Raw genomic sequence first — 12,409 nt, forward strand, 5'->3', positions numbered from 1 at the left:
TGTGTGTGTGTGTGTGTGTGTGTGTGTTTGTGTGTATGAGACGAAGAGCAAAATTCAATTTAGTCATCGTACCCACATGTAATCACCAAAAAATTTTTTTTAAAAGCTATTTATAACCAAAAATATCTTCTATCAAGTTGTGGTAATATTACATGAAAGCCCATTTTGTTCTGCTGAGCACTTGCGTAGTTCTGGGAGTTAAAAGGTGGATGGAGCAGGAGAGACGTAAAGCACTAAATGCCATTAAGTAAGAAAAATCTGGAGTTCCTATAAGCAATTTTTGAAGTAGGAGAGGTACGGAAGGGTAGGAATGAAAGAAAAAACCCAAGCAAACCTAGCAAAAGGCTAACACCTTCCATATAGAAATCACTGGGTAACTGACTTTTTAAGAATATGAAAGTCTAAACACAGTCACTTCTCACATTATGGTGAACATTGCTTCCATTTCTTCAAACCATCAGTAAAGTGTGGTACAATGCAGAAATCCCATGTGTGAACAAGTTTTGTTTTGTTGGGGCAGAGGGAAGGCTGGTGGTTGGGAAAACTAAGGAAGGGGCTCAGTTCTACCTTGAGCCTCTGTGGTATGGAAAAAAGAGATGATGACAGCTACTGTGAGAGAACTCCTAAACGCAACCAATTTGGCTGAAGCAGAGATGTGGGGCCTGGTGTGATCAAGGATTCATAAAAGCTTTGGAGAGAAAGCAGAACTTTTCACAATCTGTACGATGGGGATTGCAGCCAATTTTATTTAGCCCTCAGGAAATAGGGTGACCCCAGTTGACCCCCAGGGGAAAAAATTCCCTATCTCATAAACAATAAAAATCTTAACTAAAGTTTAATATGATAGCAACCAGAAACAAGGCTTCCTGTTGTCCTCAGACAACCGAAAGTTCATATTCACACACCCAAGTAACCACACCCCCAGCCCCTGCACTGTGCAAGTGAACAGTTTCATTGACAACTTTGGGGTCTGTTTTGATCTTGGAGATCTTGGAGTTAACTGCAGAGAATGACTGGAGTGGATTTTATGAAGAGGTATTTTATAAATGCTTATGTGTAATGATGAGGGAAATTGAAGAAAGTGAAACAAACAGTAAAACCACATGGGAAGAATTCCCGCAGAACATGAGAAACAGAACTTGACTTAATGAATAAAATAACAGATGGCATCTCATTTTTTATTGGGTGTGTAAAGAATGAGAACCTGAAATGCAGGTTTGGTTATTCAAGTGAATTAGTAAAGGAGATTTATGGTTTTGGAAGAATCAGCAGTCATGGGGGGGCAGGAAATGGTTATAAGTGACTTTTAGATTCTGTGCTTGGGTGACTAATGACAAACATAGCATAGTAAACCATCGGACCATATCATGCAAACAGGCTGTGTGAATTAATTTTGTTTTGCTTTGTCTTGCTGGGGAAATTAGAAGGCTTAAACAAAGCAGAGAGAAGACATCTATTGGATTGTCCAAAATACTGTAAAATTTTGGCAATGTGGTATCTATACCAGGCAACTACAACTTCTGTCTTATTTGGTTTAGATACCCAAGGAAGTACAGGGGTACTCTGAAATTTACTTCGAGATACAAATCTTCAATTATTCACAAGCTGGCAGCACAGGTCTTTAAGTCTATTGTCCTTGTACTTCCCTAGAACACATCATCTTGGCACCAGATCTGCTTTACCTCTCAGAAGTTTAGAGCAAAATTCTACGAAAGGCAGGACTTTTAACACTCCCTCACTGTGGGGTGTTTAAAAAGACTATTATGGGGAGAAAAATGAATTGCTGAATAAGTAGTATGTGGAAGAAAGGTCTGTGTTGAATGAAGGGAGGTCTAGTCATTAAAAAAGAAAAAGAAGGCTCAAGCCACAGAGTTTTTATCGTGTGCCTCAGCCACTGGGGAAACAGTTTCAGTGCAGTATTATATATGAAATGTTTCCTATTAGAATCAAAGTTCCCACAATGGAACATGTGCGACAATACTAACTAAACACTACCATCTAGTGGCCAGTTTTGAGAACTACAAAAGCTCGCAAAGTGCATTAAAAACACCGTGAAAGAAATGCAACAACCAATGAAAAGATGTTTAATTTTCCCTTAGTATCAGGGAAAATAATTGATCACACTATATAGTAAATGAAGATATGTGTATCAAGTGCTGCTATTCTCAATTACCCTTAAAACTTAGATGGGCTTGCAGGGAGTCTCAAGTGCATGTTTTGCTGTTTATAGCACCAGTGTAGAGATATTTCCACCAATGACAAATAGGCTGTAAAACATAAAATCCTTTAGAAAAGTGATAAAAATACAATCAGTATGAGGACTTTGCTTCCTCTTCCCCTCCCCACCCCTACCCCCCTACTATCCCTCACACCTAACACCTCTCACAAGTTGCTATTGTATAGCTGGCATAGCTGGAGGAGTAGAAAGAGTGAGCTCACAGTCAGCAAAGCTGTGTGGTGCCTTTGTTCCACACACTTCTGGCTGTTTGAGCCTAGGTTAGTCACTTAACCTTTCTAAGACTCACTTTCTAAAAATACGCAAATATGTAAATTGTTGCTCTTCCAGTCTCCCTGGGTTTAGGGGAAAATAGAATGTGTACAAAAATGCATTGTAAATGCAAATGTGCCATACAAAATTGCTATTAGTTTTAAAATCTCTAAGTGAGGATGATGAGGATGTGAATCTGATATTTGAAGGTGCTAAACATTTTTTTAATTTTTTTTCAAAAAGCCATTTTTCTTAATATTGTTGATTTCCTGAGACAAATATCTTTGATCTGGGTTGAATAATTGTGGGAATTCTCAAGTTTATCCTGCCCCTATACACGCAGCAAAAGAAAGCTAATTAACTTGTCCAAATTTTTACATTGAATCAAAGACGAGACTGAGAACAACTGTCATAGCTTGAGTGTTGAAGTTTATCAATCTAGGAATCCTATTGTGTTGTTAATGTTTCCCCAGTAGTTTCAGTAAGTAATGTAAACCCATGAATCTAAATTATAAAATGGCTACAGGTAAACCATGACACCAAATTTCACTTCATATTTCATTATTCTAAGATACAAGGGCAGAACCTAAAGAAAGGGTAAAATAAAATGGACTTACATTAGACTTACTGACACCATCATTATTTGAGAAAGAGCTATTTCCTAGGTATATTTTAGGAACTTATCTGGTGATATCTATCTATCTACTAACTTTAGGAGTGGGGTGGAATTAATTCTTTTTACAAGATTAGTGAAGTTAGAAACAACTAGTTTCTAATTGATTAAATGTAACCTATTTTCAAGTATCTTCATATGACTGAAATCAATCTGTTTTATTTTCCAAACCAGTGGAATAGACACAGAGTCATTACAACCAGAATGACATGGCATTGTTACAAATCTTAGTATTAAAGCAATACTTCTGTTTTTATGTATAATTATTTTATAATGGAAAATGTCCCTCAAAATCAGACGATTTGTTCCACAATGAATCATCTACTCCAAACAACTCTGTTCCAATAATTAATGACAAGAACAACAAACACTTACCCACCAGATCCTTATGGTAAAGCTAACTTCAGACAGGAAATGCAGAACTCAGCAGAGTTCATTATTTTTCATTTCTAGATCAGAACAAGTTTATCTAAGACTCCAAATAAAGTTCATGCTTTGTGCAACGTGCAAATGACAGTTCATTATATTTTCTTGTTTCACAGAGAAAAACTCAGAAGGAAAACATCTACAGGAGATACAAATAAAGAAGGGCTAGGTGTTTCTGAAAATAATCTTCCAGAAAAAAAAAGTGGCCCTCTTGAAACTCATCAGGAAAAAAAGTACTTAAGAAACTCTAAAACATTTTTATGTGTTAGAATCACCGGGGTAATTTTGGCAATCTCTATGCCCAGATCACAGCCCACATCAATTAGAAGAGAACCTCTGGGACATGAAGATCAGTTTTTTGTTTTGTTTTGTTTTTGTTTTCATTTTTTTTTTAAAGTTCTCTAGGTGATGCCAACACGCAGCCATATCCCACAAACACTTTAGTTAAGAAATACATACTTTGAAGCAGGAAAGTAATGCCCTTTTTGGGGAAAACAGTCATTATATGATCACAGATTATTTTTATAACTTCCATATTCTTTTTTTTTTTTTTTTTTTTGAGACAGAGTCTCACTCTGTTGCCCAGGCTGAAGTGCAGTGGCGTGATCTCAGCTCACTGCAACCTCTACCTCCCAGGTTCAAGCGATTCTCCTGCCTCAGCCTCCCAAATAGCTGGGATTACAGGTGCAAACCACCACGCTCAGCTAATTTTTGTATTTTTAGTAGAGAGGGGGTTTCACCATGTTAGCCAGGATGGTCTCGATCTCCTGACCTCATGATCTGCCTGCCTCGGCCTCCCAAAGTGTTGGGATCACAGGTGTGAGCCACTGTGCCCAGCCTCCATATTCTTACATGAGCAAGAAGCAAGAATTCATTTTATCAGTATGTAAATTGTGAAAAAAACACATGCAGGTGAGAAGCAGGGGCTATAAGGATGAAATCAATGGGCCAGCAGAGAATACAGTGCATGAATTCAATAGTCCCTGCAGTGCTCCCTGCTAGGCAGTGCAGGGATATAGACAAATAGTGGCCTGATGTCTTTAATAAGCTGATAAATAGTTGGGGCCACCAATATGTAAACAAAGCAAGAACATAGAAAACACGCTCCAAATGGGTTACAAGCAGAGTTGTGGTGTAGGGCAGAGGAAGATAATAGATGCTAATGATTTAGGATGGTAAATACGACAACAAGAGTACAATCTCTACCTGGTTGATTCCAAGGAGTTTAAAAACGTAAATGCATGAATGACCAGAGGAATCCTCACCAGGGGAGTACGGCACAGGAATATAAACGTGACTTGATGTGCAGGCTCTAAGGCAGTGGTTCTCAGAATGTGGAGCCAGGTCTGCAGCGTCACTATCACCTGGGAGCTCATTAGACGGTACATAATTGGATCCCACCGCAGACCTACAAAATCAAAAATTCTGGGGATGGGGCCTAGAAACTCCTTTTTTTTTTTTTTTTCAATTTGTCTCTGCCACCCAGGCTGGAGTGCAGTGGCGCCATCTTGGCTCACTGCAACCTCCGCCCCCCGGGTTCAAGCGATTCTCCTGCCTCAGCCTCCCAAGTGGCTGGGATTACAGGTGCCCGCCATCACGCACAGCTAATCTTTGTATTTTTAGTAGAGAAGGGGTTTCACCATGGTGGCCAGGCTGGTCTCGAATTCCTGACCTCAAGTGATCCGCCTGCCTTGGCCTCCGAAAGTGCTGGGATTACAGGTGTGAGCCACCGCACCTGGCCCCAGCAATGAGTTCTTACAACCACTTCAGGGGATTCTGGCACTCCAGGTAATTCTGATGCATCCTAAAGTTTGAGAACGAGTGCTCTAAGGTTTTCTTGAAAATAAACAAATACATGAAATTGGCCATTTTATCATCAACATTCACTAAAGTAGATGGTAGTATGTATTCACTCATGCTTCAACACAGACAAGGTCACGTGGGCTAGGAACCATTCCACAGGACAGCAATCTTAGGTAAGGTCTTAAAATAGGAAATAGAAAATTAGTTGTTTTAAAAAGTGAGGGAGTAAACAGTAATATTAATGCAAACTTGCTGATTGCAGGTACTCAAAAAATAGTTACAAACTTGTATTTTATATATAGCTTATAATATTTTAGACTTCTGGAATGACCATGTCCCACTTTCTTTTTAATCCCTAACTTTTATTTATTCATTTTCTATTTCTATAGTTTTTGGGGTACAGTGGGTTTTGTTTACTTGGACACATTCATTAGTGGTGATTTCTGATATTTTGGTGCATCCATCACCGGAGCAGTGTACACTGTACCCAATATGTAGTCTTTTATTTCTCAACTTCTCCCAATCTCTCCCCCATCCCCAAAGTCCATTATTCATTCTTATGCCTTTGTATCCTCAGCGCTTAGCTCCCACTTGTAAGTGAAAACATGATATTTGGTTTTCCATTCCTGAGTTACGTCTCTTAGAATAAATGGCCTCCACTTCCAGCCAAGTTGCTGCCAGAGACATTATTTGGTTTCTTTTTATGACTGAGTAGTAATCCATAGGGCATATATACCACATTTTCTTTATCCACTCGTTGGTCGATGGGCAACAAGTTTGGTTGCCTATTTTTGCAACTGTGAATTGGACAGGCCTGTGCATGTGGTCTTTCTCGTAGAATGACTTCTTTCCCTTTGGGTGAATACCCAGTAGTGGGTTAAACCCTAACTTTTAATGTTTACCTTAATTTTAAAAATACAATCACCCAAAACCAAAAATGAATAAATTATAACTCCATTCCACACTTGGATAAATCTCACAAACCTACTCAAAGAAGCTAAACTCGGAAGAGTATACAGAATATTACTTCATTTCATAAAACTTAAAAACGAGGAAATCCCCCTTGTTTTTGGTATCAGAAGTCCAATAGTGATTATTCTGGGTGTGCCAATAGCGTTGTTTCTTTTTCTATTTTTTGTTTTTTCTTTTGAGACAAAATCTCGCTCTGTCACCCAGGCTGGAGTGCAATGACATGATCTCAGCTCACTGCAACCTCTGCCTCCCAGGTTCAAGCGATTCTCCCACCTCAGCTTCCCAAGTAGCTGGGACTACAGGCGCACACCACCATGCCTGGCTAATTTTTTGTATTTTTAGTAGAGACGGGGTTTCACCATGTTGGCCAGGCTGATCTCAAATTCCTGACCTCAAGTGATCCACCCGCCTCGGTCTCCCAAAGTGCTGAGATTACAGGCATGAGCCACCGTGCCCTGCCACATTCTGTTTCTTAATCTACAATACATTTGAAACAGAAGACTTTCAAAATGTATGTAATGACCCTGTGTGTATTCCACTGGTTTGGAAAATAAAACAGATTGATTTCAGTCACATGAAGCTACTTGAAAGTAGGTTACATTTAATGAATTAAAAGCTAGTTGTTTCTAGCTTCACTAATCTTGTAAAAAGAATCAATTCCACCCCACCCCTAAAGTTAGTAGATAGATATCACCAGATAAAAGGTCCTAAAATATACCTAGGAAACAGTTCTTTCTTAAATAATGATGGTGTCAGGAAGTGTAATCTACAAAGTCCCCTTCTAGTTCACCCTTTCTTTAGCTTCTGGTGAGCCAAGTGTGTTCACTTAGTGAAAATTCATTGACTTTTACACTTACAATTTGTGCACCTGCATTTATGTATGTTTTGATGCAAAGTTCAAAAAATATAAGAATAGGATGAATGCTATGTTAGAGTTTAAGAAGTCAGGACATTTTCACTTCCCTTTGGCATTTAAAGATGTGTTGGATGTTGGGGTACTGCTCTCAGTGAATGCTGGAGACAGGCAATGGCACATCATCCAATACAGTGAACAAAGGCAAGTGGATAGGGATATTTAGTCCTTGGGATTCTAAAAATCTCAAAGAAGACCACAGGAATGAATGGTCAGTTTCTGACGATGCAAGGCAATTTATTCTGGCTCTAATAAGACCTGAGTTAGGACAAGGCAAAACTGTGAAGTAGATGAGATTGTGAACAGTCCCCGAAATAACTGTTGGGTGGCCTGTGCCTGCAAGCACTTTTGCCACCTCCCCGTCTGTCAGGGTCACTCTCCTATTGAGTCTCTGCCACTGTTTCCAGCCATTCTCCAAATCTTGATTTAATGCTTCTTTGCCCCTCTCCCACTATTCCTCCCTACTACCCCTCTTATCCTCCTTATCTCCTTCCTTTTCATCAAAACCTACCTGTTTTCTGTTTCGTTATCTCAGAATCTTTGTTATTAGCCAGTTCAATAAACCACTGGGCTCCCCAGCCATGCTAACAGGCAGGTCAGAGCTGAGAAGCTCTAAGCTGGTTATGAAACTGAGGGAGCTTCACTCAGACAGCGTTCCTCTCCAAAGCCATATCTGGATTTTACTGGGGCCTGAGGACCTTAATGAAAGGGGGAACCAACTCACCTTGGAGCAGAGGTTCTCTGGCTAGCGCAGAGGTGGCACAGTATTGACTTGCTCTACCTCACTGTTGTCACTGATGTCCCTAGACATACCCTGAGCCTTTTTCTGGAGACCTGGAAACAGTTAATACCAGAGCAAGTCCCCACTTATCAAAAGGAGCAGCCTGCCAAAAACAATGTTGTTTTTAGACAAGTATGTTTTAAGGCATAAACTGAAGGGCTAATGGAACAGCCATTGTTCTAATGGATTTTTAATGAGGTGTAAAGTTCTCAGCTGATTGACAGTCAACAAGGTGTGAAATTTTACAGAAATATTGCATTACTGTGAAATTAATCTCTTTTATTCAAGTTTATTATTTCTTGAATCTAAAAGTCAAGAAAAGCATGAGAAAGATGACTATTAAAATTTCTACTTCCCTATAATTAATAGGAAATAGTTACAGGACTACAGTTAATAACTATATTTTTTCAAATATTTTTGAAAATTGTTAAGAGAGTGGATTTTAAGTGTTTTCACCACAAAAATGATAAGCATGTGAGGTTATACATTTAATTAGCTCAATTTAGCCATTACACAACGTGTACATATTTCAAAACAATATATAGACAATGAAAACATGCAATTTCTTTAAAAATAAAATTTCTATTTTCCTTTAAATACGATTTGAAATCAAGAGAAAAATTATTTTTCTTGGTTTTATTTTATGGAGAAAGTTATGGAAGTGGAAGGGACATCATAAAGGCAGGACTTTTCTGAGCTCAGTTTCATTGACTGCCCAGGTGCCCTGGGAGTGATAATGACCTAGTAGCAACCAACGAGCCCCTTTCTGGCCAGCACTGTGAGATCAATGCTCCAGGGCATTGGGTTCTAAGCCCAGGGATTCAGCATCTAAGCCACTTGGGTTCAATACCCCTCTTAGACCAGACAAAAAGAGGTCCTGCCCTGGGAGCCTTAGAAGGCCCACTCTTTCCCTTCTCCAGTCCTGCCTCTTCCTTTGCAGGATCCTTGGAATATGGTCACGCAGAGCCCCAAACCAATGTACTTTTAGACCGTGACCTGGGAGCTCATGGCCCGTATCAGCTAACAGGGCCTGTGGGGTCCCATTTCCCCCATGCTTCTTCTAGAGGGCAGACATGTCACCAGTGTGCACAACCCTATGCCTGGGGGTGGCTACATATGTAGTATGAGGGTAGGAGGTACTGGGCCAAAACGCAGGCACCTGGGCTGGCTTGTCCCCACACACACACAGAGGTGCTTCGTGGTTCCAGACAGAGCCAGATGGGAAGAGAAGAGCAGAGCGGGTGGCCCTTTCCCTCAACACTGAGGGATTGGAATTGCTGAATTGGAATCCGGCCTTCCAGACAATTATGAAAGCATATTTGTCAAGGAAAAAGGACAGACCTTTAACACTGAGGGAGCAGATAGAACCGAAACATTCAGGTTCTGCATTTGAACTTGATCTTCCAGGTCTCTGTATAGGCTTAAGTTGTCAAGGAAGTAGGCCAGAGCTTCCTTCACAGTTCATTAGGCTGATTTACAACTTTTAAATATTTAGACAAGTGGTATGCAGGCTCCCACCTGTATTCTTACCTCACAACCTCAAAATTTCAGAAGCAGCCTGCTCTGAGCCCTACCCAAGACCTACGGAGACAGACGTCTGTGGTGGGGTTGGGAAATCTGAATTTTAAGAAGCTCTTCAGATGATGGATGCCCATCATTCATTTGCCTATCACTACCTTAGACCCTTATCTCCACTGTCATTTTTTAAATGCTGAGTCCATGTGTCAACAAAGTAGCGTTGAATAACTCATTTGTAAAAAGTGGAAGCAGAAAAATGACAGATTTCACTGGAACACTAGGCATGTGCCAAACCCAGCTCTGTTCTGCTCAGGAAACAGGCTTCCTGAGCCCCCATGGGCTTGTGGCTTCCAGTCTGATTTTCCTCAGCCCAGTGACATCCTGTGGGACAGCTGTCATTGTCCTCCATAGTCATTCCAACTTCAGATAATGCTCCCTCTTCAACAGAACTTTCTCTTTTAAGATTGGCCATTCTTACTTCCTGGTTCCTGAGGCCAATTTTTGACCCAATATCTATTTTCTTCTCCTAATTCCTCTACTCTGCAATGCCCACCATTTTGGTTTTAACATACAAGTGTTTAACCCAGAGCTCTTTGATTTCTCCTGGTAGGTGAGAAAGAGTATTTGTTTGGGCAAAGCCTGCTAATAAACCAGCAGTACATTGAGATCACCTGGGGAGTCACAAAATTCCCAAGCCTAGGCCCCATTCCAACCTGTTACATCTTGATCTATGACGTTTGTGTGTGTGTGTGTGTGTTTGTGTGTGTGTTAAAAGCATGGGGAACAGATAAGTTTCCATTATTCTGCTCACACATCAAAAGTTTCAAAGAACCCTTTTCCCCAGATACCGAGAGATTTTGGCCATTCCTTTAGTATTTTTACAGCATTAAACAAAGACTGATTATGAATATAACCCCAGCTTATTGAACTGTGTGCATTCTCTTAATGCCTGCAAATGCTGCTTGCAAGAGTGGCCTCACACCAAAATGTACCCCAAGTTCTTCTGTAAAGACAACTTGCAGCCAAGGACAGCTAGCACCAACACTACTGTCTTCCAGAATTTTAAGTGGAGGCTGAAAGGCTGAATTAGTTAAAACTCCCAGGCCTTCTTGGTTAGGACAGTGTTCTTGCATTCTTTTTTTTGGCAGGGGGGCCGGGGGCACTATTCAAAACATTCCAGTGACATATCGAGTCACTACCCCGTAATTTAAAAATATAATGTAATATATGTACTTTATGGAAGTCGAAGAGTTGTGCTTTAAATTTAAGTACCGTGCCTTAGTTGGCGCCTCTAACATAGGGAGTTGGACATTGCTAATGATTTGCCCTCATTAAGCAAAGATCTTTGAGATGCTTCTATCCATTAAATACTGTCAATGTGATTCCTATTCTAGCTAGTTGGTATAGAGCACCACCATTTTCAAAATTATTAAGGAAAAATCACATCTAAATTAAGCCAAAGGGACTAGACCCATCGAAAGTGAGATATAAAGGGCTTTGGGCAATAAAATCAAAATCATTTGTTAGTTGTGAGAAAACTTAAATCTTACCCTCTAGTTTAATTTTTAAAGTGTCGAAGGAACTACAAAATACAAATTTCCCAATAAAGAAGAAAATCAAGAAAAAGAAGACAGTACTAGAATAAATCATACCATTTGGTACATTTATGTACCAAATTTACCCTGGGTAATTCCTATTTTCTCAATTTCAGCAAAGAGGAGTAATTTTAGGATATAGTATTGCCTGCCTGGATTATAACGATGTGCTAAGAGGCTGAGCATGTGTCTCTTATGTACATCTCCAGACTGTGCAGGCGGAGCTCAAGTTGGATTTGGCATCAAGGTCCAAGTTTAGTCATTAATCTATTGATGAAAACTGTACTTTATTTTCCCCCATTGAAGAAGGGACAAAATTCAATTCCATCAAGCAGTCTTCTTTGTACAGCTCTATTCTACTCCTGACTTAGATTCAGAGTCAGAGGACCAGAGTTAGTGCTCACTCCAAACTATTAACCTTTCATCTAGGGCCCGGGGTCCATCTCTGCCTAGAGAGCATGTGGGAACCCCTCGATTGCTTTATTGCATCGTTTATTATTACAAAGAATAATACACATATTGAATAAAAAATGTATACTGCTTGAAAGGCAATTAAGCGACTTCTCATAAGTCACGTGAATCCTGAAATGTCTATTATGTTTTAGAAACCCAAAGATAATTGTAATTCCATTGCCTGGTTAAGTCATGCTCAAGAAACACGGTGCTCCTTATGGCTGCTCGTCAATCCTCTCAGCGGCCAGCAGATGGCGCACACTTCTCAGAAACATCAAAACGTGGCGTGGGAAAACCCGATTCCGTGGGGAAGGCGGGCCGCCTAACACAAAGCTGTCTTTCCGTAAAAATCAGTCGGCCTTCACAGGGTTACAGAAAATTATTCATTATGTACAAGAGCAATGACGTTCAGCAATGTATACAGTTGCTGACAGTCCTAAAGTGGGATATGGAACAGGATGGTTCATGCCCATTTTTACGTATTTGAATTTATTTCTTCTCTGGGTACTGTAAGTAAATGAATGTTATTGATTTTTCCTTATGTGTTAAGTGCTGCACCGATATTTTAAATGATGACTCGTTTCTACTGGGAACTTATAATGAAAAGATGGAGCAGTAGAAATAGAAAACCTCTGGGCCATCTCCTTGGTCAAGGTTAGCAGGTTAGTCCTTTGGTCTAGCTCTGCCATTCAGAACCTTGGACCATGCATTTGCTCCCACCCCTGGGATCCACCATCTCTCCCTGGCTCCTTCCAGGTCCACCAGCCTCAGGGTCACTGCAGTCTCA

General features: G+C 40.2%; 1 protein-coding gene across 17 annotated transcripts in view, besides 1 other annotated feature; it reads right to left on the minus strand.

Moving 5' to 3' along the window:
* Positions 1-12,409, minus strand: part of PDE4D (phosphodiesterase 4D) — a 1,553,091-nt gene that overhangs the window by 829,233 nt on the left and 711,449 nt on the right. The window lies entirely within an intron of this gene.
* Positions 2,208-2,738: an enhancer, noted in NCBI's record as "NANOG hESC enhancer chr5:59096304-59096834 (GRCh37/hg19 assembly coordinates)". NCBI's record gives its function as "activates a minimal SCP1, AML or CMV promoter by ChIP-STARR-seq in naive H9 embryonic stem cells {active_cell/tissue: H9 hESC(naive)}" and the evidence as "EXISTENCE:reporter gene assay evidence [ECO:0000049][PMID:30033119]".

Source organism: Homo sapiens, chromosome 5, assembly GCF_000001405.40.
Source record: "Homo sapiens chromosome 5, GRCh38.p14 Primary Assembly".
Classification (NCBI taxonomy): domain Eukaryota; kingdom Metazoa; phylum Chordata; class Mammalia; order Primates; family Hominidae; genus Homo; species Homo sapiens.